The sequence below is a fragment of the Homo sapiens genome, chromosome 20 (assembly GCF_000001405.40).
Source record: "Homo sapiens chromosome 20, GRCh38.p14 Primary Assembly".
Classification (NCBI taxonomy): Eukaryota; Metazoa; Chordata; class Mammalia; order Primates; family Hominidae; genus Homo; species Homo sapiens.
In genome coordinates this window covers 32,694,186-32,720,910 of record NC_000020.11, presented here as the reverse complement: position 1 = coordinate 32,720,910, position 26,725 = coordinate 32,694,186, and the positions used below count along the sequence as shown (strand labels likewise).

General features: G+C 47.0%; 1 protein-coding gene across 8 annotated transcripts in view, besides 4 other annotated features; it reads left to right on the top strand.

Moving 5' to 3' along the window:
• The window catches only part of COMMD7 (COMM domain containing 7), a 40,769-nt gene extending 22,557 nt beyond the window's left edge, over nucleotides 1-18,212 (top strand). For 2 of the 8 annotated variants that reach the window (NM_001099339.2, NM_053041.3), the window contains exons 4-9: nucleotides 14,151-14,207; nucleotides 14,291-14,328; nucleotides 16,007-16,097; nucleotides 16,422-16,471; nucleotides 16,840-16,888; nucleotides 17,453-18,212. In NM_001099339.2, coding sequence (NP_001092809.1) covers nucleotides 14,151-14,207; nucleotides 14,291-14,328; nucleotides 16,007-16,097; nucleotides 16,422-16,471; nucleotides 16,840-16,888; nucleotides 17,453-17,529 — 362 coding nt within the window. In that variant the 3' untranslated portion in view covers nucleotides 17,530-18,212. Of the gene's footprint in view, nucleotides 1-14,150; nucleotides 14,208-14,290; nucleotides 14,329-16,006; nucleotides 16,098-16,421; nucleotides 16,472-16,839 lie in introns of all 8 variants that reach the window. The other 6 variants (XM_017027685.3, XM_011528604.4, XM_005260300.5 and 3 more) reach the window with 3 other exon arrangements.
• Nucleotides 9,230-9,524: a silencer, noted in NCBI's record as "tiled region #13573; K562 Repressive DNase matched - State 15:Elon". NCBI's record gives its function as "represses a minimal TATA promoter and a strong SV40 promoter by Sharpr-MPRA in K562 cells {active_cell/tissue: K562}" and the evidence as "EXISTENCE:reporter gene assay evidence [ECO:0000049][PMID:27701403]".
• Nucleotides 11,543-12,049: an enhancer, noted in NCBI's record as "H3K27ac-H3K4me1 hESC enhancer chr20:31296664-31297170 (GRCh37/hg19 assembly coordinates)". NCBI's record gives its function as "activates a minimal SCP1, AML or CMV promoter by ChIP-STARR-seq in primed H9 embryonic stem cells {active_cell/tissue: H9 hESC(primed)}" and the evidence as "EXISTENCE:reporter gene assay evidence [ECO:0000049][PMID:30033119]".
• Nucleotides 14,659-15,406: an enhancer, noted in NCBI's record as "H3K27ac hESC enhancer chr20:31293307-31294054 (GRCh37/hg19 assembly coordinates)". NCBI's record gives its function as "activates a minimal SCP1, AML or CMV promoter by ChIP-STARR-seq in primed H9 embryonic stem cells {active_cell/tissue: H9 hESC(primed)}" and the evidence as "EXISTENCE:reporter gene assay evidence [ECO:0000049][PMID:30033119]".
• Nucleotides 17,503-18,019: an enhancer, noted in NCBI's record as "OCT4-NANOG hESC enhancer chr20:31290694-31291210 (GRCh37/hg19 assembly coordinates)". NCBI's record gives its function as "activates a minimal SCP1, AML or CMV promoter by ChIP-STARR-seq in naive H9 embryonic stem cells {active_cell/tissue: H9 hESC(naive)}" and the evidence as "EXISTENCE:reporter gene assay evidence [ECO:0000049][PMID:30033119]".
• Nucleotides 18,213-26,725: the final 8,513 nt, after the last annotated feature.

Genomic DNA, 26,725 nt, shown 5'->3' with positions numbered 1-26,725 from the left:
GGTAATGGCATAAAGCAGGTGCTCAGTACGTGCAGAGCGAATTGAATAGAATTTAGGAGATGCTGTGACCCTCCCAGGGGATGTTGAGTCTGTATTTTCCTTCTTTTTATGTATTTATTTATTTTGGGACAAGGTCCCACCCAGACTGATTCTCATAGCTCACTGCAACCTCCAACTCCAGGGCTTAAGTGATTCTTCTGCTTCAGCCTCCTGAGTAGCTGGGACTACGGTGCACCAACACACCTGGCTAATTTTTGTATTTTTTGTAGAGACGAGGTTTTACCATGTTGCCCTGGCTGGTCTTGATTCTTGGGCTTAAGCGATCTGTCTGCCTTGGCCTCCCAAAATGCTGGGATTACAGGCATGAACCACCATGCCCGGCCTAGTCTATATTTTTCTTTCTTTTTCTTTTTCTGAGACGGAGTTTCACTCTTGTCTCCCAGGCTGGAGTGCAATGGCTCGATCTCGGCTCACTGCAATCTCTGCTTCCCGGGTTCAAGCGATTCTCCTGCCTCAGCCTCCCGAGTAGCTGGGATTACAGGCATGTGCCACCATGCCCGGCTAATTTTTGTATTTTTAGTACAGACGGGGTTTCACCATGTTGGCCAGGCTGGTCTCGAACTCCTGATCTCAATTGATCTGCCCACCTCAGCCTCCCAAAGTGATGGGATTATAGGCGTGAGCCACTGTGCCCGGCGTATAGCAGATCATTTTCTATAGATACAGAGAAAATTGAGGAACTCAGCATACCAGTGAAGAGATGGGCTTTTCAGGCTCACTCTGATTTGAGTTTTGGTCCCATCACTGAATGTAGCCATTTGGTTCTGGACAAATCAGCCTTGTAGAACCTCAGTTTCTTTTCTGAAAAGTAGAATAATAATAGCAGCTTATTGCGGTGTTAGGAATGAAGAGATGAATGCCTGTAAAGTACTTAACACAGTGCTTGCTCAACTGTAACCTTTGTTTTGTTGAGGCTTTTGTTGAGCCAGGGTCTTGCTATGTTGCCCAGGCTGGTCTGGAAGTCCTTGGCTGAAATGATTCTCCTGTCTTAACCTCCCAAGTAGCTGGGATTATAGGCATGTTACTGTGCCAGGCTGTTATGGCCTTTATTTATTGATAGAGCTGCTAGTGTTCAGTCCTATTCCTTTATGTCAAATTATGGGATAAAACTTTTACCTAATAATGAGTATGTGAATGTATGTCTGGGCTAGTTAATGTCCCAAAGCCTCCTAAGTTTTATTATTTTATTATATTTTTTTTTAGATGGAGTTTTGCTCTTGTTGCCCAGTCTGGAGTGCAAAGGTGCCATCTTGGCTCACTGCCAGCTCCGCCTCCCAGGTTCAAGCAATTCTCCTGCCTCAGCCTCCTGAGTAGCTGGGATTACAGGCACCCGCCACCATGCCTGGCTAATTTTTTGTATTTTTATTAGAGACGGGGTTTCACCTTGTTGGCCAGGCTGGTCTCGAACTCCTGACCTCAGGTGATCCACCCCACCTTGGCCTCCCAAAGTGCTGGGATTACAGGTGTGAGCCACTGCTCCCGGCCTTCCTGTCCCCTTCTTATCCTTTGTCCTTGTGCATCCCTTCTTTCTAGTCCCAAAGGCTGCCATCCCAGAACAGTTTCTTAGCCCTACATGCCTAGTTATGGCAGTTACATCTCCACCTCCATTCTCCCATCCAGACTCCAGTTTGCCCTGGAGCACACTTAACTACAGCACAACTTGGATCATCCTGCTTCTCTCAACTGTTTACCTTGCGTAATGAAGTCTGTAGGCCTCAGTTTGGCATTCAAGGCCTTTCCTAATCTAATCTGCAACGTAAGAGCCTCCAGGCCCTCATCAGTGTCCTCTTCCTTTGACCTGGTCCTGCCTGTGCAAGAAGCTCTTATTGTAGAAGTACAGTTTGTTAGAGCTGAAGTGGCCTTAAGAAACCACCAGATCAGTCTTCCTCAAATTGGTGTGTCCAGAGTCAGAAATACTCTCCCCGCAACCCCAGCCTTGGAACCCTGGAGATTCAAGCACACATTGACACATCTCAGGTTCTGAAAAGTCCTACAGTAAAGAAACTTGCTTAACCAGTATCTGTGAAGCACAGTTAATGATGGAACTTTTTGGTTTCTTTTTTTTTTTTTGGCAGGGGGAGAGTCAAGTAAAAGCTTTGTAAAGTACTGATCTTTTTTGGCATTTTATTTTATTTTATTAATGTATTTATTTGAGACAGAGTCTCGCTCTGTCACCCAGGCTGGAGTGCAATGGCACAGTCTCTGCTCACTGCAACCTCCGCCTCCTGAGTTCAAGCGATTCTCCTGTCTCAGCCTCCCAAGTAGCTGGGATTACAGGCCCATGCCGTCACGCCCAGCTGATTTTTTGTATTTTAGTAGAAACGGGGTTTCACTGTGTTGCCCAGGCTGGTCTCGAACTCCTGAGCTCAGGCAGTCCACCCGCCTTGGCCTCTCAAAGTGCTGTGATTACAGGCGTGAGCCACTGCGTCCGGCCCCCCTTTTTTTTTTAGATGGAGTTTCGCTCTGTAGCCCAGGCTGGAGTGCAGTGGCGCAAACTCGGTTCACTGCAAGCTCTGCCTCCCGGGTTCACGCCATTCTCCTGGCTCAACCTCCCGAGTAGCTGGGACCACAGGCGCCCGCCACCACGCCCGGCCAATTTTTTGTATTTTTAGTAGAGACGGGGTTTCACCGTGTTAGCCAGGATGGTCTCGATCTCCTGACCTTGTGATCTGCCCGCCTCAGCCTCCCAAAGTGCTGGGATTACAGGCGTGAGCCACCGCACCCGGCTCCCCTTTTTATTTTATTGATTTTTTTTTTTTTTTGAGAGGCAGTCTCGCTCTGTCGCCGAGGCTCGAGTGCAGTGGCACGATCTCGGCTCGCTGCAACCTCCACCTCCTGGGTTCAAATGATTCTCCTGCCTCAGCTTCCTGAGTAGCTGGGATTACAGGCACACACTACCACGCCAGGCTCTTTTTTTTTTTCTTTTTTGGTCAAGAGGGGGTTTTACCATGTCAGCCAGGGTGGTCTCAAACTCCTGACAAAGTGCTGAGATTACAAGCATGAGCCACTGTACCTGGCCTTTTTTGCCTTTTTTAAAAAATGTTTTTCTTGTACTATTTAGTATGTAATTCTTTGAAACACCTGACTTCAGCCAGGCACAATGACTCATGCCTGTAATCTCAGCACTTTGGGAAGTCAAAGGGGGAGAATCTCTTGAGGCCAGGAGTTGAAGAACAGCCTGGGCAACATAATGAGACACTACCTCTACAAAAAATAAAAAAAATTGGCCAGGTATGGTGGCTCACGCCTGTAATCCCAGCACTTTGGGAGGCTGAGGTGGGCGGATCGCTTGAGGTCAAGAGTTTGAGACCAGCCTGGCCAACATGGCAAAACCCTGTCTCTACTAAAAATACAAAAATGAACTGGGCGTGGTGGCACATGCCTGTAATCCCAGCTACTTGGGAGGATGAGGCATGAAAATCACTTGAACCTGGGAGGCAGATGTTGCAGTGAGCTGGGATTACACCACTGCACTCCAGCCTGGGTGACAGAGTGAGACTCTGTCTTAAAAAAAAAAAAAAAAAAAAAATTAACTGGGCATGGTGGTGCACACCTGTAGTCTCAACTACTTCAGAGGCTGAGACAGGAAGATACCTTGAGCCCAGGAGTCCAGGCTGCAGTGAGCCATGATTACACCACTGCCCTCCAGTTTGCACAACGGAGGAAGACCCTGTCTCTAAAAAACAAACCAAAGAAAATCCTTCAAAAGTTATTAACCCGGGCTGGGCACGGTGGCTCACACCTGTAATCCCAGCACTTTGGGAGGCCGAGGCATGTGGATCACGAGGTCAGGAGATCAAGACCATTCTGGCTGATACGGTGAAACCACATCTCTACTACAAATACAAAAAATTAGTCGAGCATGTTGGTGGGCACCTGTAGTCCCAGCTACATTGGAGGCTGAACCCGGGAGGCGGGGAGCAGAGTTCCTGACACTGCGCTCTGGCCTGGACGACAGAGCTAGAGTCCATATTATGAAAAAAAAAAAAAAGTTACTAACCCATGGCCAGATTGATTCATGTGGACCCCACCCATGGCTCCTTACTGCTCTCTGAACTGGATTACTTTAGTTTAGTTTAGTTTTAGAGATGTGGGGGTCTTGCTTTGTTGCTTGGGCTAGTCTCAAACTCCTGGCCTCAAGCAGTCCTCCCACCTCAGTCTGCTGAGTAGCTGGGATTACAGGTGTGGGCAACATGCCCAGTGCAAACTGGATTATGTTTTGTTTTTTTTGTTTTTGAGACGGAGTCTCACTCTGTCACCCAGGCTGGAGTGCAGTGGCACGATCTTGGCTCACTGCAAGCTCCGCCTCCCGGGTTCACGCCATTCTCCTGCCTCAGCCTCCCAAGTAGCTGGGACTACAGGCGCCTGCCACCACGCCTGGCTAATTTTTTGTATTTTTAGTAGAGACAGGGTTTCACCGTGTTAGCCAGGATGGTCTAGATCTCCTGACCTCGTGATCCGCCCGCCTCGGCCTCCCAAAGTGCTGGGATTACAGGTGTGAGCCACTGCGCCCGGCCCAAACTGGATTATGTTAAAGGCAATATCAGACATACTTTATTCCTGAATACCTAGTTGTCTATCTCTAAAAGAAAAAAAGGAATTTCCCCCTTATCAAACTACAATGCCATTATCATATCTAAAAGGAAAATACAAGGTCAGTATTAATTTCCCCATTGTCTCCTGTATTTTGTTTGTTTGGAATGGGTTCCCATCAGGATCTAGATAGGACTCCAGTCCAGCACGTGGCTGCTGGGTGGCCCTTCTGTGCTTGCTTACTCACCAGGGATTTAACAGCTCTGAGACCCAATGGTACCTGAGAACTAATAGTAGACTCATACTTTTATTATAAGGATAAAGATAATAAATGTAATAAGGTGCTCACTTCACTAAGTGGTAGCACACTGCTGCTAATATTATGATTGTCATTATTATTATGTGTTATCTCCTAGCTGAGATTACAGATAACTTGGCAGTAGGGCCACTATTTAAGCCTGTTTTTAATTAATTTATTAATTTATTTATTTTTGATTAATTTATTTTTTTTGAGACAGAATCTCGCTCTGTCACCCAGGTTGGAGTTCAGTGGCATGATCACAGTTCACTGCAGCCTTGTCTACCTGAGCTCCAGTAAGCCTCCGACCTCAGCCTCCCGAGTAGCTGGGACCACAGGTGGATGCCACCACTCCTGGCTGATTTTTGTATTTTTGGTAGAGACAGGGTTTCGCCATGTTTCCTAGGCTGGTCTTGAACTCCTGAGTTCAAGCAGTCCACCTGCCTCAGCCTCCCAAAGTGCTGAGATATAGGCATGAGCCATCACGCCTGGCCGCCTGTTTTTTTATTTTATTTTATTCTTTTTGTTTGTTTTTTTGAGACTGGGTCCGGCTGTGTTGCCCAGGCTGGAGTGCAGTGGCACAGTCTCTGCTCACTGTATCCTTGACTTCCTGAGCTTCAGTGAGCCTCCCACCTCAGCCTCCCGAGTAGCTGGGACCACAAGTGCATGCCACCACTCCCGGCTAATTTTTGTATTTTTGGTAGAGACAGGGTTTTGCCATGTTTCCTAGGCTGGTCTTGAACTCCTGAGTTCAAGCAGTCCACCTGCCTCAGCCTCCCAGAGTGCTGGGATATAGGCATGAGCCACCTAGCCTGGCTGCCTGTTTTTTTATTATTATTATTATTATTTTTTGAGACTAGGTCTGGCTGTGTTGCCCAGGCTGGAGTGCAGTGGCACAATCTCTGCTTACTGCAGCCTCGATCTCCCCAGGCTCAGCCACCCTGCTTGGTCACCTATTTTTATTTCATTTATTTATTTATTTATTTATTTATTTTTATTTTTATTTTTTTGAGACAGAGTCCCACTCCGTTGCCCAGGCTGGAGTGCAGTGGTGCAGTCTCGGCTCACTGCAACCACTGCCTCCTGGGTTCAAGCGATTCTCCTGCCTCTCAACCTCCTGAGTAGCTGGGATTACAGGCATGCGCACTACACCTGGCTAATTTTTGTTGTTGTTGTTGTTGTTGTTGTTGTTGTTTGAGATGGAGTCTCACTCTGTTGCCCAGGCTGGAGTGCAGTGGTACGATCTCGGCTCACTACAACCTCCACCTCCCAGGTTCAAGCGATTATTCTACCTTAGCCGCCTGAGTAGCTGGGACTACAGCCATGCACCACCGTGCCCGGCTAATTTTTGTATTTTTAGTAGAGACGAGGTTTCACCGTATTGGCCAGGCTGGCCTCGAACTCCTGCCCTCGTGATCTGCCCATCTCAGCCTCCCAAGGTGCTGGGACTACAGGTATGAGCCACCGTGCCTGGCCTTAATTTTTTGTATTATTAGTAGAGACGGGGTTTCACCATATTGGCCAGGCTGGTCTCGAACTCCTGACCTCAGGTGATCCGCTTGCCTCGGCCTCCCAAAGTGCTGGGATTACAACCACCGTGCCCGGCCCTATTTTTATTTTAATACTTAGCAAGATATCTGGCCCCTGTGGGTGATCCGTAACTGATTTTTATTTTATTTTATTTTTTTATGAAAAGGAGGTAACTCCCCTTCCCCACTCCCCAACGAGTTCTTTTTAGCAACATACACACAAAAAAGAATAATCAGCAATGAAATGTAGTCATAAGTGGCATTTAATCAAACATTGAACTAAATTCCCCAGGACCGCCAGCCTCATGCACCACCCTACTATTTTTCTCCATGGCACTTTCCCCCTTCTTTTTTGGGGGTTTTTTTGTTTTTGTTTTTAAGACAGAGTCACACTCTATTGCCCAGGCTGGAGTGCAGTGGCACGATCTCGGCTCACTGCAGCCTCCACCTCCTGGGTTCAAGCGATTCTCCTGCCTCAGCCTCCCAAGTAGCTGCGATTACAGGCGCTCACCACCACGCTCAGCTAATTTTTGTATTTTAGTAGAGATGGGGTTTCACCATGTTGGCCAGGCTGGTCTTGAACTCCTGACCTTGAGATCCACCTGCCTCGGCCTCCCAAAGTGCTAAGATTACAGGCGTGAGCCACCATGCCCAGCCTCCCCCTTCTTATACCCTGTATGGCTTATGTTTTACGTTATTGCTGTGGTCTTTCTCCTGCCAGTAGAATGGAAGCCTCATAAGGGCAGAGATTGTTGTCTGTTCAGTTCATTGATGTTTCCCAGCATCTAGCACAGTGCAGGCACATGGCAGTGCTCAGTAAATGTGCGTGTGTGACTACGGACCTCTGTTCTCTGTGAGCCTCACAGGGTGGCTTCAGCTGGTCAGCCTTCAGGGTCAGTACTGACTGGATGAAAGCAGCTCTCCATCCTCTCCCATCTGCTTCCAGGAGTTTTCACCAAGCCTGTGTCCATTCCTTGGGCTCCCATTTGTACACTGAATAAGAACAATGTTTGCTGTTTTTCCAACCGTCTTGGCAAAACTGAAGTCGTCACCCTCACTTCCCTTTGTTTTGTCCTTCATATTGTTTGACAGCTTTGAGGGTTTGGCTAAGGCAGCAGTTCTGGTGAAAATTGGTGCCTGTTGCCAGGCGCATTGGCGCACGCCTGTAGTCCCAGCACTTTAGGAAGCCGAGGCGGGTGGATCACCTGAGGTCAGGAGTTCACAACCAGCCTGACTAACGTGGTGAAAGCCCATCTCTACTAAATACAAAAAAAAATAGCCAGGCATGGTGGCACATGCCTGTAATCCCAGCTACTTGGGAGGCTGAGACAGGAGAATCTCTTGCACCTGGGAGGCGGAGGTTGCAGTGAGCTGAGATTGCACCATTGTGCTCCAGCCTGGGCAACAAAAGTGAAACTCTGTCTCAAAAAAAAAAAAAAAAGAAATTAAAAAAGAAAGAGGACGGGCACAGTGGCTCACGCCTGTAATCCCAGCACTTTGGGAAGCCAAGGCAGGCGGATCACGAGGTCAGGAGATCGAGACCATCCTGGTCTCTACTAAAAATACAAAAAATTAGCCGGGCATGGTGGTGCGTGCCTATAGTCCCAGCTGCTTGGGAGGGTGAGGCAGGAGAATCACTTGAACCTGGGAGGCAGAGGTTGCAGTGAGCCAAGATTGCACCACTGCATTCCAGTCTGGGGGACAGAGTGAGACTCTGTCTCGAAAAAAAAAAAAAAAAAAGTCTCCGTGTCAAAAAAAAAAAAGGGACCATCTCAAAGTTATCTGTGTTTGAAGAAGGATGTTCTTAAATTTCCCCACGTGTCATGTTCTGCTGACTGCAGCTGTTGGAGTTTACACAATTTTCTTTTTTTTTTTTTTAAAGGTCTGGGGTACATGTGCAGGGTGTGCAGATTTGTTACATAGTATGCCATGGTGGTTTGCTGCACCTGTCAACCCATCACCTAGGTTTTTTTTTTTTTAATTTGAGACGGAATCTTGCTCTGTCACCAGGCTAGAGTGCAGTGGCGCGATCTTGGCTCACTTCAACCTCTGCCTCCTGGGTTCAAGCAATTCTCCTGCCTCAGCCTCCTAAGTAGCTGGGACTACAGATGCATGCCACCATGCCCAGCTAATTTTTATACTTTTTAGTAGATACGGAGTTTCACTACATTGTCCAGGATGGTCTCGATCTCTCTCTTTTTTTTTTTTTTTTTTTTTTTTTGAGACGGAGTCTTGCTCTGTGGCCCAGGCTGGAGTGCAATGGCACGATCTCGGCTCACTGCAACCTCTGCCTCCCGGGTGCAAGCAATTCTCCTGTCTCAGCCTCCTGAGTAGCTGGGATTACAGGCGCCTGCCACCACGCCCGGCTAATTTTTGTATTTTTAGTAGAGATGGGGTTTCATCATGTTGGTCAGGCTGGTCTCGAACTCCTGACCTCATGATCTGCCCACCTCGGACTCCCAAAGTGCTGGGATTACAGGCATGAGCCATCGTGCCCAGCCCTCAGTCTCGATCTCTTGACCTTGTGATCCACCCGCCTCGGCCTCCGAAAGTGCTGGGATTACAGGCACGAGCCACCACGCCCAGCCCATCACCTAAGTATTAAGCCCAGCATGGAATAACTATTTTTCCTAATGCTATCCCTCCCCCCACCCCACCCTCCAAGAGGCCCCACACAATTTTCATTCTGTCTGACATAAGGTCAAATGTTGCAGGTCTGTCTTGTGGCTGGCATTTGCTTAGGACAAAGGAATCACCACAGGAAAAAGCTGAAAAAGAAGTTAAGAGCTTGAGGCCTAGCATGATGCCAATCCATGTTTCAAGTCTGGCCTCTGCCCTCCAGAGGTAACTTCAGGATGGAGAGCTTGCTCTTCCATCCCTGCAGCTTTGTTGACTTCATTGTCAGCAACTGTCAAGGCATTGCCTGATACCGCAGCACCAAGATAGCGTCTGAGAATGACCTGGTGTAGAAAGAACTTGGTGTGGGGACCCTCTGGCCTATAAGCCACTTGGCTCTGTCAGTTGCTGACTGTTGTGGCCTTGTTCCTTTAACTGTTTCCTTTTTTTTTTTTTTTTAAGTAACATTTTTTTTTTTTAGACAGAGTCTCACTCCGTCGTCCAGGCTGGAGTGCAGTGGTGTGATCTCGGCTCACTGCAACCTCTGCCTCCCAGGTTTAAGCGATTCTCCTACCTCAGCCTCCCAAGTAGCTGGGACTACAGGCGTGTGCCACCACGCCCAGCTAATTTTTGTATTTTTAGTGGAGACGGGGTTTCACCACGTTGACCAGGCTGGTCTCAAACTCCTGACCTCAAGTGATCCACCCGCCTCAGCCTCCCAAAGTGCTGGGATTATGGGCGTGAGCCACCACCCCCGGCCAAAGTAACACTTATTTTTATTTATTTATTTTTAGAGATAGAGTCTTGCTCTGTCACCCAGGCTGGAGTGAAGTGGTGCCATCATGGCTCACTGCAGCCTCAAACTTCTGGGCTCAAGCGATCCTCCTATTTTAGCCTCCTGAGCAGCTGGATTACAGGTGTGCACCTCCACACCCAAGTAATTTTTTATTTTTATTTTTGTAGAGGCAGGGTTTTGCTATGATGCCCAGGCTAGTCTCAAATTCCTAGCCTCAAGCAATCCTCTCACCTCAGCTTCCCAAAGTGCTGGGATTATAGGTGCCTTTCCTTTTTTTCTTGACATTATATTATGCAGATTGGTCCATCAACAGCTACTGAGCTACATCTATTTTTTTTTTTTTTTTTTTTGAGATGAGGTCTCACCCTGTTACATAGGCTGGAGTGCAGTGATGCAATTATGGTTCACTGTAGCCTCAACCTCCTGGGCTCAAGCCATCCTCCCACCTCAGCCTCCTGAGTAGCTGGGACCACAGGCCTGTGCCACTATACCTTGCTAATTTTTTTATTTTGTAGAGATGGGGTCTCCCTGTATTGCCCAGACTGGTCTTGAACCCCTGGGCTCAGGTATCCTCCCACCTCAGCCTCCCAAAGTGCTGGGATGACAGCACTTGGCCTTACATAATTTTTTTTAAGCCTGGATAGCAATCCATTGTAAGGATTCTTGCATTCAACGTGCTTTTATTGAGTGCCAACCAATAAACTTTGCCAGGCATTTCTCTCAGAGCTTGGGACACAGCAGTAGGCAAAATGAGCCTAGTCTTTGTTCTTATCAAGCTGGTGTTCTAGTGGAAAAATTGATAATAAATATATAACATAAAGTTGGGTAGTTATAAATGCAATGCAGAATATCCCACAGCATTATACGAGTATGAGTAAAGGGCAGTGCTATTTAAATTAGAATGAGGCTGGGATTGGCAGCTCATGCCTGTAATCCCAGCATTTTGAGAGGCCAAGGTGGGAGTATTGCTTGAGTGCGGGAGTTTGAGCTGGCAAGATAGTGAGACTCTATCTCTAGAAAAAAAAATTAAAAATTAGTCAAGCATTGTGGAGCATGCCTGTAGTCCCAGCTACTTAGGAGCCTGAGGTGGGAGGATCCATTAAGCCCAGGAGGTCAAGGCTGTAATGAGCCGTGATTACACCACCGCACTCCAGCCTGGGTGACAGAATGAGATTAAAAAAAAAAAAAAGTAAAAAAAGAAAAAATGTGAAATAGAATGGTCGGGGATCCTTTCTGAGGAGGTAAGAGTCAGGCAGAACCCTGAATGAAGCGAAGGGATGAGCTATGTGCAGAGAACTGCAAGGGCAAATGGCCAGGGGTAGAAAGCTGTCTGGCATATTCTAAAAATAGCACAGTAAGCAAGGGAGAGAGCCTAGGGGTTCTAAGAGGAGGCCAGAGCATGCAGGGTGTTGTACAACCTTTGGATTTTACTGTGAGTGAAATAGGAGATAGTAGAGGGTTTTGAGCAGAAAAAATAGCATGGTCTGACCTGAGGTTTTTGTTTGTTGTTTTTGTCATCGTTTGTTTTTGAGACGGAGTCTCGCTCTGTCGCCCAGGCTTGAGTGCAGTGGCAGATCTCGGCTCACGGCAACCTCCACCTGCCAGGCTCAGATGATTCTCCTGCCTCACCCTCCTGGCTAATTTTGTAACAGGCGCCCAGCCTGTTTTTTTTTTTTTTTGAGACAGAGTTGCTCTGTTGCCAGGCTGTAATGCAGTGGTGCCGTCTCTGCTCACTGCACCCTCAGCCTCCCAAGTAGCTGGGACTACAGGCGCATGCCACCACACCCGGCTAATTTTTGTACTTTTAGTAGAGACGGGGTTTTGCCACGTTGGCCAGGCTGGTCTCGAACTACTGACCTCAAGTGATCCACCCCCTCAGCCTCCCAAAGTGCTGGCATTACAGGCATGAGCCACCGTGCCTGGTCTCTCCATGACCTTTCATCCCTACTATCCACATTGCTAAAGAGCTTCCCCTGTATATCTCAGCGTGCTTTTGGGTGCAGCTTGGTTGGGTGAATTCTTGGCAGTGCAATTCTTGACTATCTGCATTTGCCAAATTTTCTCCCAAAAATGCTTAATGTTTCCTGGTAAACTAAGTTAAAATAATAGCTGGGCATGGTGGCTCATGTCTGTAATCCCAGCACTTTGGGAGGCCAAGGTGGGTGGATTGCTTGAGGTCAGGAGTTTGAGACCAGCCTGGGCAACATGGCAAGACCCTGTCCCTACAAAAATTCAAAAAATTAGCTGGGCATCATGGCACACGCCTGTAGTCCCAGCTATGTGGGAGGCTGAGGTGGGAGGATTGCTTGAGCCCCACCCACCCACCCCGGTGTGGTAGGAGGTGAGCTGAGATTGCCCAACTGCACTCCAGCCTGGGCGATAGAGTGAAACCGTGTCTCACTGTCTCAAAAAAAAAAAAAAAGTTACAATAATAAAGCCCAGTGTTTGGGGATTGTCAAATAAAGCATTGGGTTTGAATTGGATATAAACTAAGACACTGTATTCATGGTAGTTAGGAGTTATTTGGATTGGCTGGGAAGTAGCCACCTTCTCAGAGGGCCTTTATGGCTAAGGTTTCCCGGGGTCTTGCCTTTTTTATTCCGTGTGGCTTCCTTGCTCAGTCTGATTTTGGAGATAAAAGATTTCCTCCCTTTGTTTATATGGTTGATTTTACCGGTACAACAGCCTTTAGGATTGTTTTTCTGGAGTGAGTTGGGGGTGGGGACTTGGGTTTAGGGTATAGGTTCAGGGCCTTCCCTTGATGGTGGTTGGCATCTTCCTATTCTTTAATTAGTCATTTTCTGGTGAACTAAAAAGTGGAAAATTTGAGAGTGGTTGCCAAATTGTGACTGGGGATGTAGCCTGCAGGTTAAACATTGAGAAGCCCAGATTGCTGGCTTTGTTTTCAGGAATTGGAGCCTAGCAAAACAAGGTGACCACCACAGGGAAGTGTTCCTAGGGCTTCTGAGAAGTTTTGACAGCCCCTCTGGAAGTGACTTGTGAATTGTAGAGGTTAGTCTGTTTAGTCCATCTTGGTGTACTGTGTGAAAGCTAACTTCTTAGGACAATGCCATCCAATAGAACTTTCTTTGCAGATGTAAATGGTCTGTAATCTTCAGTGTTCAGTATAATGGTCACTGGCCTTGTGTGACTGTTTGACACAGGAAATAGCTAGTGAGACTGAGGAATGGAATTTTAAATTTTATTTAATTAAAATTTGCATAACCACATGCAATAGTGGCTACATAATGCATTGTGGAGCTCTAGGTGGTTGCCCCCTGTGCCCAACCTGACATTACACTCCCCTGCCTCTTGCTCCAGGAATTCGTATCCTTACTCATTCCTCAGACCAGTTGCTCCATCCCCAAGTCCGTGAAGTCTTTTCTGTTGTCTCTGACTTCTCTCACACTGGTTGGAGGGATAAATAATTGTGTTGTACAATTAAAAAAAAAATATGTGCCAGGCATGGTGGCTCTCACCCCTTTAATCCTAGCACTTTGGGAGGCCAAGGTGAGCAGATCACTTGAGGTCAATAGTTCAAGACCAGCCTGGTCAACATGGTAAAACCCAGTCTCTACTAAAAATACAAAAATTGGTTTGGTGTGGTGGCGCACGCCTGTAGTCCCAGCTGTTCAGGAGGCTGAGGCATGAAAATCACTTGAACCCAGGAGGTGTAGGTTGCAGTGAGCCGAGATCACGCCACTGCACTCCAGCCTGGGCAACAGAGCGAGACTCCGTCTCAAAAAATATATATATATTTTGAGATAAGTATATATATATATATTTTTTTTTTTTGAGACGGAGTCTCGCTCTGTTGCCCAGGCTGGAGTGCAGTGGCGTGATCTCGGCTCACTGCAAGCTCCGCCTCCCGGGTTCACGCCATTCTCCTGCCTCAGCCTCCCGAGTAGCTGGGACTATAGGTGCCTGCCACCATGCCTGGCTAATTTTTTTTTTTTTTTTTGTATTTTTAATAGAGACAGGGTTTCACCATGTTAGCCAGGATGGTCTCGATCTCCTGATGTCGTGATCCACCTGCCTCGGCCTCCCAAAGTGCTGGGATTACAGGCTTGAGCTACCGTGCCCGGCAAAAATAAATATATTTTTTAAATAAAATAAATAAATTGTAAAATGTACTGTCTTTCTTGTTTTCTGGTCATTTCGGATGCTATTTCCCCATGGCTGGATTGAGATCTTGGAGCTGGCCAGTCTTTGGGTGTTCCTTTTGTCCTTTAGGTCACATAGGTTGTGCCCATTAAATACTTATTGCCGACTAATTCACTGGTCTGCCTTTCTAACTGATTTCTCCCCTGCCTCCCAGGTGCTTTGAAGAAGAGTCTCACAGCCAAGCAGGTCCAGGCGGATTTCATAACTCTGGGTAGGTCATTGGCCAGGGTTGCTCAGGGTGACTGGCTTCTGAGGCTTTTTATTATGTTAATATCTCCTTCTGTTCTCTTATAGGTCTTAGTGAGGAGAAAGCCACTTACTTTTCTGAAAAGGTATAATTCCTCTTAATCAAGGTTAATGGCTGATTAAGATCCCTTGCTTTTCTTTCTTTTTTTTTTTTTTGAGATGGAGTCGCATTCTGTCCAGGCTGGAGTGCAGTGGCAGTGTGATCTCGGCTCACCACAACCTCTGCCTCTCGGGTTCAAGTGATTCTTCTGCCTCAGCCTCCCCAGTAGCTGGGACTACAGGCACATGCCACCATGCCCAGCTAATTTTTTGTATTTTTAGTAGAGACGGGGTTTCGCTGTGTTAGCCAGGCTGGTCTCGAACTCCTGACATTGTGATCCACCCACCTTGGCCTCCCAAAGTGCTGGGATTACAGGCATGAGCTACTGTGCTCGACCTCTTTCTTTCTTTCTTTCTTTTTTTTTTTTTTTGAGACAGAGTTTCGCTCTCGTTGCCCAGGCTAGAGTGCAATGGCACAATCTCGGCTCACTGCAACCTCCACCTCCTTGGTTCAAGCAATTCTCCTGCCCCAGCCTTCCAAGTAGCTGGGATTACAGGCATGTGCCACCATGCCTGGCTAATTTTGCATTTTTAGTAGAGACGGGGTTTCACCATGTTGGTCAGGCTGGTCTTGAACTCCCGACCTCAGGTGATCCACCTGCCTCAGCCTCTGAAAGTGCTGGGATTACAGTCGTGAACCACCACCGCCAGCCCCTTGCTTTTATATCATGAAGAGAGAAAACAATGGGAAATGCCAAGTAAGGCCAAACCACCTATCAGTATCATCATTTCCCCAGCCTAAGGTTTTCATCTGGCTTCAAGCGCATGTCATACACACAGCTTTAACCAGCACTATTCAGTGTATCTCTAATCATTTCTCCTGATTTGACCCAGTCAAAAATCTGCCCATTTTCATGGATCAGGAGAGGACTTACTTGTAAAAATATACCTCCTACTGGCCAGGCCCGGTGGCTCACGCCTGTAATCCCAACACTTTGGGAGGCCAAGGCGGGCGGATCACGAGGTCAGGAGATCGAGATCATCCTGCCTAACATGGTGAAACCCCATCTCTACTAAAAATATAAAAAATTAGCTGGGCATGGTGGTGGGCGCCTGTGGTCCCAGCTACTTGGGAGGCTGAGGCAGGAGAGTGGCGTGAACCCAGGAGGTGGAGCTTGCAGCGAGCCAAGATCATGCCACTGCACTCTAGCCTGGGCAACAGAGCGAGACTCCATCTCAAAGAAAAAAAAAAATATATATATATATATATACACACACACATATATATATACATATATATGTATGTATATATATACACATATATATGCCTCCTTTCTCCAATTCACTGCTCTCAGATGTCACTGTGACAAAAATAGAGAAAAATAACAAGTGACTGATTGAGAACTTACCCTGAAGACCCCATCTTGCAATTGTCTAGTAGAAGCCATGTGGGGGCCAGTATGATGGCAGCACTGTTTTTTTTCCAAGATGGATTAAATCTTGGAATGAAAAATACAACATTAATGTTGTGGTCTGCCACTCTGTGCCCTCCTCCATCCCTAGGTATGTGCATATAGACTGAGCCCTTCGTTCTGCACCCTCCCCACTATCTTCTGCACCCTCCCCACTATCTGTGTCAATGCTAAATATTGCAATGTTTAGGGCAGGATGGAGAGGGGGAGATTTTCCTATTGTAATTGACTTTGTCTTTTGCTTTTGTTCCAGTGGAAGCAGAATGCTCCCACCCTTGCTCGATGGGCCATAGGTCAGACTCTGATGATTAACCAGCTCATAGATATGGAGTGGAAATTTGGAGGTAACTAGTTACAACCAGTCCTGGGTTATTTGGGTGGTACAGGGTTGGGGTGCAGAGGCTGTGACACAGCCACTATGGGGAAGGCATGACCTAGTCCCTAGCACTGTTGGGGCAGCAGCTGCTGTTTTGTATTCTGTCCACATTCAGTAGCTGTTTCATGGCTCTGGATAAGTTGACTTTCCAAAAGCACACCTTGCTGCCCTCATACTTGCCCCCACATGGCTTCTGCTGGACAGCTGCAAAACTGGGGTCTTCAGGGTCAGTCCTCAATCAGTCACTTGTTATTTCTCTCTCTCTCTCTCTTTTTTTTTTTTTTTGTCACAGTGACATCTGGGAGCAGCGAATTGGAGAAAGTGGGAAGTATATTTTTACAAGTAAGTCTTCTCCTGATCCTTGAAAATGGGTAGATTTTTGACTTGGTTAAAAATTATATCTACATTGGGTTAAATGGATATTTAAATGGATGTTTTACTGAAGTACCTTATATATCTCAGAGCAGTGTGGCCAGCTAAAGATGTAGTCACTAACATGCCTACTTTTAGATGAATAGATCCTAGTGTTATTCATTGATGCGTGATTGTTCCTGTAATCATGGGAATTGTTAGAATTTTCGGTGGTGGATGATCCAGACTGCTCCTGTATGACTCTCAGGTTGGAAGCTTAATTAAGTCAAAGGGTTTTAAGAATTTCTTTGCCCAGTTGTCATCATTTTAATTTAAATTATTTCTTTTTCTTTCATCAGCTAAAGTTGGTGGTTAAGAAAGGAAATCAAACCGAAAATGTGTATATAGGTGAGTCTGAATTCCCACTTGAGCCTCTTCACCTTTTTTGTGTTCTCTGCAATCAGGGGCTGGTGACGCTCACCACAAATCATGTCTTCTATAAAAACAGTCATTGCCAGCTGTGGAGTAGCTGTTCCACTGCCTTTCCTCTCCTGAAAGATGGCACAAGGAGTGTTAGAAAGCCACTGGCAGGTTGGAGCCCCCACAGTTGAAGAGCCGTTTTGAAAAAGGGAAAGGGTGGGAACGGAATGGCTGGGATTGAAGAAGAAGGTTGACGAGCAAGAAGCTCTTGCCATAGAAGTCACATTGAACATCCCGAATGATACCCTTTCATCTCTTTGTGCCATGGAGCTGTGCCATTTGAACACTCACTCCCCTTTTTTTTCCTTTGGAGCAGAGAACCTTCTGCATTCAAGTCTCTCAGTTCTTTATTATGATCAGTTACCCATCAAGAGCTGCTTAGATGTATTAAGCCAAAAAAGAAAAAAAAAATCCTCCGGGTGGAAATTAATTTTCTTGGATGATTCTGTGGAGTTGGAAACATTTATCTGAAGCTGAATTTTCTCTCCCCAGAATTAACCTTGCCTCAGTTCTACAGCTTCCTGCACGAGATGGAGCGAGTCAGAACCAGCATGGAGTGTTTCTGCTGATTTCTGTCCCTGCATCTCCCCTGGCCCCGTTCCCTGCCCTCCTCCCTTCCCTGGGTGACTGCTCTGAGAGGCACTTCACTCACAGGCCTGTGGGATGCTCCATGGGGCCCTGCTGGCTCCATGGGGCCCAGGTGCAAAGGGTTTCTGAAAAACAGCAGGATTAAGTACTGAAAGAGCCCAACACAATTACCCTGTAAACTCTCTGTTAGGGCAACCACCACCACCTGTCTTCCAGGACACATTTTTAGATACTCTGACAGGCCACTGCATCTCAGATTCAGGGGAGAAAATAAGTTGTCACCTCCCCTTCAAAGTTCCAGAGTAAACAAATGGTGCCATCATTCAAGATAACATGCTGATCACCCTCCTCCCAAAAAGCAAGAGCTTGTTTATGGCTGAGGAATCGGCGGATTGTCTGAATGACACATATACAGAGCCCCCACGGATTTCTGCACACTCTGGGTCTGTGCTGGTGGAACATTGCCAATCAGTTCTTAATGAGGCACCTGTGTGTAAATACATGCTTGGTCTTCTCTGCAGAGAACTGAGGCTAAACTCTGTCCCTACTTCTGGTTTTGCCCTGTCATGTCGTAACGAGGTGGGCCTTTTGAGGCCATTTTAGTTTGAGTTCGAGCCAACCACCTCTGTTGGTTAGATGATGAATAAAAAGGTTCTGAAGAAAAGGTCTGGATCCAGTTGTCTTTCTGCATGGATTAAAGAGTCGTGTACCTTGCAGAGAGCTAGTGCTTGCTCTTGTCTTTAAAAATTATCTTCCTGGTTTTGTGACGATCCTGGGTCTCCAGTGAAATTGGGTCTGTTCCAAAGTTGGAATTTGTAAGAGCAATTCCGGGGAAACTCAGGTTAAAAGCCACAGGAAAAAGCATAACATGTGAAATGCTTTGTGTACAGATGACTTTTCCTGCTCCTCCTCCTCCACTACCCTCCTCCTCAGAATTTTTTTTTTTTTTTTTTGAGACGGAGTCTCACTCTGTCACCCAGGCTGGAGTGCAATGGCGGCATCTCGGCTCCCTGCAGGCTCCGCCTCCCGGGTTCACGCCATTCTCCTGCCTCAGCCTCCTGAGTAGTTGGGACTACAGGCACCCGCCACCACGCCCAGCTAATTTTTTGTATTTTTAGTAGAAAGGGGGTTTCACCATGTTAGCCAGGATGATCTCGATTTCTTGACCTCGTGATCTGCCCGCCTTGGCCTCCCAAAGTGCTGGGATCACAGGCGTGAGCCACCGCGCCTGGCAAATACCTCCTCAGAAATTTTATAAAGTTTTGAATAGCTAAAAGATGCCCATGATTAAAAGGTACAGTGTAAGGTAATAACCCCTCCCCACCACCGTTTCCCAGTTACCCAGTTCTCTTCCCCAGAGGTAGCCACTGTTATTAGTTTATTCTGTGTTCTGAAGACATTAACTGCATTTGCAAACGGATATGCATATAGTTTCACTTTTCTTCCCACACAAATGGTAGCATTATGTACCCACCGTCCTGCACCTTTCTTTTTTCCATTCAACTTGGAAATCGTTCCATATCAGAACACAGAGAACTGCGTCATTCTTGGTAACAAATGCACCGTTTTACTTCAAATGGATGATTTATTTAATCAGTTTCTTGCTGATGGGTGTCTAGGTTGTTCCCATTCTTTTTCTCTTACAAATAATGCCACAACAGAATATCCTTGTATATATGTCGTTTTGCACATATGGAAGTATGTTTATAAGGTAATTACATGGGTATGGAACTGCTGGGTGATAGAATATGTACATTTATCAAAGAGTATAAAAAAGAGTAAAACAAAAGGTTTCTTCTCCCTTGTCTCCCATTTACTTAATTCTCCCACTGGCCTGTTCCAATAGATAACCTCTGTTGTTAGTTTCTTAGGTACCCTTCCACAGGTTTTTATTTTTCCCCACATAGAAACAATAGGGTCAGTCATGGTGGCTCACACCTGTAATCCCAGCATTTTTGGAGGCCGAGGCAGGAGGATTGCTTGAGGCCAGGAGTTTGAAACCAGCCTGGGCAACATGGGGAGACCCTGTCTCTACAAAAAATTTAAAAGTTTGCTGAACGTGGCTGGGCACAGTGGCTCACACCTGTAATCCCAGCACTTTGGCAGGCTGAGGCAGGTGGATCACGAGGTCAGGAGTTCAAGACCAGTCTGGCCAACATGGCGAAACTGCATCTCTACTAAAAATACAAAAATTAGCCAGTTGTAGTGGCAGGCACCTGTAATCCCACCTACTCAGGAGTCTGAGGTAGGAGAATTGCTTGAACCTGGGAGGCAGAAGTTGCAGTGAGCCGATATCGTACCACTGCACTCCAGCCTGGGCAACAGGCAAAACTCCATATCGGGAAAAAAAAAAATAATTGCTGAACTTGATGGTGTATGTCTGTTGTCCCAGCCACTTGAGAGGCTGGGGCAGAAGGATTAGTTGATCCTAGGAGTTAGAGGCTGCAGTGAGCTGTGATCAGTCATACCACTGCACTGCAGCCTGGGCGACAGAGTGAGACCCTGTCTCAAAAAATGAAAAAATAAACAACGTGAATTTTTATTTTTACACCCTTTTTTGTTTACACAGATAATTGCACACTCTACATACTTTTGTTAATACATCTAGGAGATCTTTCCATATCATTTTATAAAGAGTCTGCATCCCCTCCCTGTGGCTGTAGCATATTCAGTTTTGTGGATGGATTGTAACCAGCACGAGCAGTGTTTTTTTGTTGTTGTTGTGGTTTTTGTTGTTTTTTTAGATGGAGTCTCACTCTGTCACCCAGGCTGGAGTGAAGCGGCGCAATCTTGGCTCACTGCAGCCTCTGCCTCTTGGGTTCAGGCGATTCTCCTGCTTCAGTCTTCTGAGTAGCTGGGATTACGGGTGCATGCCAACACACCTGGCTAATTTTTTTGTATTTTTAGTAGAGACGGGGTTTTGCCATGTTGGCCAGGCTGGTCTCGAACTCCTGACCTCAGGTGATCCACCCGCCTTGGCCTCCCAAAGTGCTGGGATTACAGGCATGAGCCACTGCGCCTGGTCCAGTATGAGCAGTTTTGATAAATGGTGCCAGTGTTAATCACAGTTCTCAGAGAACAAAATCAACAGGATGTATGTGTACATATGTATATGTATATGTATTGGGGAGAGAGATTTTTATTTTAAAAGATTGGCTCACATGATTACAGTGACATGGTCAGTCTTCAGAGTAGACCAGCAGGCTGCATATGCAGGAAGAGTTGCAGTTCAAAGGGTATCTACTAGCCAGGCACTGTGGCACACACCTGTACCCCCAGCTTCTTGGGAGGCCAAGGCAGGAGGATCACTTGAGCCCAGGAGTTCAAGACCAGTCTGAGCAATGGCGTGAGACCTTGTCTCTAAAAAAAATAGGAAAATAAAGGCTGTCTGCTATCAGAATTCCTTGCTGGGGAGGAAGGGATAGGATGCCAGGCTTTTTTTTTTTTTTTTTAAGGCTTTAACTGATTGGATGAGGCCCACCCACATTATGGAGAAGAATTTGCTATACAATAGGTCCCCCTGTATCCATGTTTTCATTTTCCCTGGTTTCATTTACTCACAGTCTGAAAATATTAAGTGGAAAATTCCAGAAATAATTTATAAGCTTTCAATTGCCTACCATCCTGAGTAGCATGATGAAATCTCGTGCTGGCCCACTCCATCCTGGACACGAATTCATGTTGTGGTATGGGAATCAATCCTTTCTCCAGGGTACCCATGCTATATATGCTGTTAATCATTTAGTAGCAGGTACTGTTGTCAGATTGAGAAAAACATATGTATAGGGCTCGGGACTATCTGTGGGTTTAGGAATCTGCTAGGGGTCTTGGAACATATCCCACATGGATAAGGGGGGGCTGCTGTACTTAAAAGTCCACTAATTTTTTATTTTTTTGAGATGGAATCCCACTCTGTCGCCCAGGCTGGAGTGCAATGGCACAATCTCAGCTCAATGCAACCTCCGCCTCCCAGGTTCAAGCGATTCTCCTGCCTCAGCCTCCTGAGTAGCTGGGATTACAGGTGTGTACTACCACGCCCGGCTAATTTTTGTATTTTTTTTTTTTTTTTAGTAGAGATGGGGTTTCACCATGTTGGTCAGGCTGGTCTCGAACTCCTGACCTCGTGATCTGCCCACCTCAGCTTCCCAAAGTACTGGGATTACAGGCGTGAGCCATCGCACCTGGCAAAAGTCCACTGATTTAAATGTTAGTGTCGGCCGGGCAAGGTGGCTCACGTCTGTAATCCCAGCCCTTTGGGAGGCTGAGACAGGTGGATCATGAGGTCAGGAGTTCAAGACCAGCCTGGCCAAGATGGTGAAACCCTGTCTCTACTAAAAATGCAAAAATTAGCTGGGCGCTGTGGCAGGTGCCTATATTCCCAGCTACTTGGGAGGCTGAGGCAAGAGAATCTAATTGCTTGAACCCGGGGGGCAGAGGTTGCAGTGAGCCGAGATTGTGCCACTGCACTTCAGCCTGGGTGAGAGTGAGACTCCATCTCAAAAAAAAAAAAAATTTAGTGTCATCCATAAACACCTTCAGAAAAACATCTAGAATAGTGTTCAACCAACTCTCTAAGCACTGTGGTCCAGCCAAGTTGACACAAAATTAATCCTCACAGTGCCAAGTTGATCTCTACCTTCTTTCAATTTCTGCTTCCACCAGCAAGTTTACTGTCCAAAAGTTCCAAAGAGGAACAGATGAGTGCCTTTGAACAGTGTCCAGATATATTCATGAGTTTTCAGAGAGCCTCATGTAGCTTGAGACCATGAGAATCTAATGTATTAATAAAAAGAATTCACAAAAAAGGAAGTAAAAATAAAAAATTAGAAAAAAAAGTTCACAGAAAGTCAGAACGGGAAGGTACCTAAAATACTATCAATTTATTTATTATTATTATTTTTTGAGATGGGGTCTTGCTCTGTTGCCCAGGCTAGAGTGCAGTGGTGTGATCTTCGCTCACTGCAACCTCTGCTTCCTGGGTTTAAGTGATTCTCCTGCCTCAGCCTCCCGAGTAGCTGGGACTACAGGCGCATTCCACCATGCCCGGCTAGATTTGTATTTTTAGTAGAGACAGGGTTTCGCTATATTGGCCAGGCTGGTCTTGAACTCCTGACCTTAGGTGATCTGCCTGCCTCGGCCTCCCAAAGTGCTGGGATTACAGGTGTGAACCACTATGCCCGGCCAATACAATCTGTTTAAAACTCACTCATATTACAGATGGGGAAACTGAGGCCTGGAGACTGAAACTGTGGTCACTGGCCAGGGGTCAGACAGTGCTGTCCTGTGATCCATGGGGTCCTGCTTGATTCAGAAATGGGCTCCTGACACTAGAAGGGCTTCCAGCACGCCAAGCCATCTGGTGCAGGTCCAAGTCCGGGTGCTGTGTAAGAGTTGCACCCAGCTGGCCACCGGACAGATTCTGACCAGGGAGCTCCTTGCCCTGCCCAATTCAGCCGCTGCTGCCCCACCTGGATCACAACATTGGCTTTCTGATGGCCCCCCTGGAGTCTTCAGCCTCACAGCTTCCACAGTCCAGCCCATTTCCTGTGTGACCATTCTTATGCACAAGTCTCATGTCACCCAACAGATCCACTGCTCAGGGTTCTGCCAGGTGTCCAGAGGAAAGTCAGAACTCCTAACTTAGAACACTCAGCCCTGACAACCTGGCCCTGCTGACCTCCTCCAGTGCTCCATCTCCACTGCCTCATGGCAGGCATCCTACTGGAGCATCTAGACTACCAGGCTGCTTACAGCCACCAAGCCATGGTGCCATCTGCCTCTTCTCCCCTTGGGCTCACAGTGCTGCCCCACATTTCTAAAGGCCTCTCCTGATAGTTCTTGGCCATAATAAACACACCTTGGGCCCTCATTCCTCTGCTTCAGGGGTTAGGAGTGCAAGCTCTGAAGTCAGACTGCCTGGGGTTTCTTTTTTCGCTTTGTAGAGAGCGGGGTGGGGGGAGGGGGGGCTGTCTCACTGTATTGCCCAGGCTGGTCTCAAACTCTTTGACTCAAGTGATTCTCCCGCCTCGGGCCTCCCAAAGCATCAAGATTACAGGTGTGAGCCACCACACCCAGCCCTGCTTGGGTTTCAATACTGGCCTTTCTGCTTATTAACTGTGTGACCTTGGGCAAACTCCTTAACATCTGAGAACCTTAGTTTCCCCGTTTGTAACAGGGTTATAATTCTCAGCTCACAAGGTTATTGGGGTAGATCACTTCACACAGAGCATGCTTAACTAACCAGTGAGCTACTTATTATCAAATCGTAATTATTTGTTCCCAGGATTCTCTTTCCCACTAGCCCCTGAGTTTCTTTCTTTCTTTTGTGCGTGTGTGTGTGTGTGTGTGTGTGTGTGTGTTTTGTTTTGTCTTGTTTTTGAGACAGAGTCTTGCTCTCTTGCCCAGACTGGAGTCCAGTGGCACCATCTTGGCTCACTGCAACCCCCACCTCCGGGGTTCAAGCGATTCCTGTGCCTCAGCCACCTAAGTAGCTGGGATTACAGGCACCTGCCACCACACCCAACTAATTTTCATATTTTTAGTAGAGAAGGGTTTTGCCATGTTGGCCAGGCTGTTCTCAAACTCCTGTGCTCAAGCGATCTGCCTGACTCGGCCTCCCAAAGTGCTAGAATTACAGGCGTGAGCCACCATGCCCAGCCCATGAGCTTCGTGATAGGAGACTTGCTTTTCAGCTCAATCACCCCTACAATCAGCATCATTCAGCCCCGCTCCTCCTCCCCAAGCCAGCCTTGGAACAGGTCCTGCCCTTTGTTGAAATGAAATGAGGCTGAGTGTAGAGCCTCCATGGAAGCAATGTTAACAAACCTCCCTGACTTTAGAAGAAGAAATCCAGGCCAGGTGTGGTGGCTCACACCCGTAATCCCTGCACTTTGGGAGGCCGAGGCAGGCGGATCACCTGAGGTCAGGAGTTCGAGACCAGCCTGGCCAACATGGTGAAACCCCATCTCTACTAAAAATACAAAAACTTAGCCAGGTATGGTGGCTCGTGCCTGTAGTCCCAGCTACTCCAGAGGCTGAGACACAAGAATTGCTTGAACCCGGGAGGTGAAGGTTGCAGTGAATTGAGATCCCGCCACTGCACTCCAGCCTGGGCGACAGAGTGAGGCTCTGTCTGAAAAAAAAAAAAAAAAAAAAAAAAAAAAAAAGGCCAGGGAAGTTGTTTTCATTGTGGGTCAGTTTTAACATAGATCACAGATAGCTCCACAGTGTAAGGGGGCCCTCTTCCCAGAGCAGTTGACTATCCTGCTCCATGACTCCACCAACATTCTTGGAGCGCCTCATATGGGCAAAGGCTTTGCTAGGCCCTGGGGGAGGGAGTGATAAGCCCTGAACACAGATAACTGACAAGTTGTTTTTTCTTTTTTTCTTTCTTTCTTTCTTTTTTTTTTTTTTTTGAGACGGAGTCTTGCTCTGTCACCAGGCTGATGTGGCGCGATCTCGGCTCACTGCAACCTCTGACTCCCTGATTCAAGCGATTCTCCTGCCTCAGCCTCCCCAGTAGCTGGGATTACAGGCATGCGTCACACCACACCCAGCTAATTTTTGTATTTTTAGTAGAGGTGGAGTTTCACCGTGTTCGCCAGGATGGTCTCAATCTCCTGACCTCGTGGTCCACCTGCCTGGGCCTCCCAAAGTACTGGGATTACAGGCGTGAGCCACCGCACCTGGCCAGGTTGTTTTTTCTATGTAAGAGTAGATTATATCCTCACTCCCATTTACAATAGTTCAGAGCCCATTATGAACTCCAGAACTACTACAGTTCCTTTGCTGGATTGGAATTTTGTCACGAATATACTCTGTTGAATAAGGGGCATTGATCAGGCTCTGCAGACTGTCAAGGGGGATTTTGCTGCAATGCTGGGGGATTTGGGCAGGATTTTTCTTACTGTTAGCACTGCACCTTTGCATTGATTCACTGTTCTTCCAATTCTGTTTAGAAATCTGCTGTCTGGTAATCTCACTTTTGATTGCAGTTTATTTGCTTTTGGAGTATAGTGTTCATTAGGATGGTAATAGTCTGGCCCAAGAGGAGATGAGCCAGAAATACCTGTATTCTTTCCCTGGAGGGAAGAGGACTGGCTTGGCTGGGATGGGAAGATCAAGTGGGGGGAGGGGGTGTTGATTGTTCAGTTCTTTTTTTTTTTCTTTCATTTTTTCACTTTTTGGCCTATCATTCTTGTTTCCTATAACTGTTCAGTTCTGACACTATTGTTTATTTTTACTATAGTGGCATTAAAAAAAGAACCTGGGGGCCGGGCACGGTGGCTTACGCTTGTAATCCCAGCACTTTGGGAGGCCGAGGCAGGTGGATCACAAGGTCAGGAGATCGAGAGCATCCTGGCTAACACAGGTGAAACCCCGTCTCTACTAAAAATATAAAAAATTAGCCGGGCGTGGTGGCAGGTGCCTGTAGTCCCAGTTACTTGGGAGGCTGAGGCAGGAGAATGGCGTGAACCCAGGAGGCGGAGCTTGCAGTGAGCAGAGATCACACCACTGTGCTGCAGCCTGGGCGACAGAGCTAGACTTCGTCTCAAAAAAAAAAAAAAAAAAAAAAAAGAAGCTGGGCCTGGCACAGTGGCTCACATCTGTAATCTCAGCCCTTTAGGAGGCCAAGGCAGGAGGATCATGTGAGGCCAGGAGTTCCAGACCAGCCTGGTCAACATAGCAAAACCCTGTCTCTACAAAAAACTTAAAAATTAGCCAGGTGTGGTGGCATGTGACTGTAGTCCCAGTTGCTCTGGAGGCTGAAGTGGGAGGATTGCTTGAGCCGGAGTTAGAGGCTGCAGTAAGCCATGATCTGTGCCACTACACTCCAGCCTCATATTTTAAAAATAAAAAAGCTGATGATGTTGTGGAAAGTCCTCAAATAGCCCAAGTGGTCAACTGCTCTCTTGTGGGACCAGCAACCTGACACATGAGCATTTGCCAGAGTGGAAAATGGCCTTTCTGAAAGACAGAACACTCAACAACAAATATTTTTCTAAAGGATACTTGATCTTTTCCAAGTTGCTTTATTTTTTTTTTTTGAGACAGAGTCTCATTCTATTGCCCGGGCTGGAGTGCAGTGGTGTGACCACGACCCACCGCAGCCTCGACCTCCTGGGCTCAGGTAATTCTCCCTGGTAGCTGGGATTACAGGCATGCACCACTATGCCC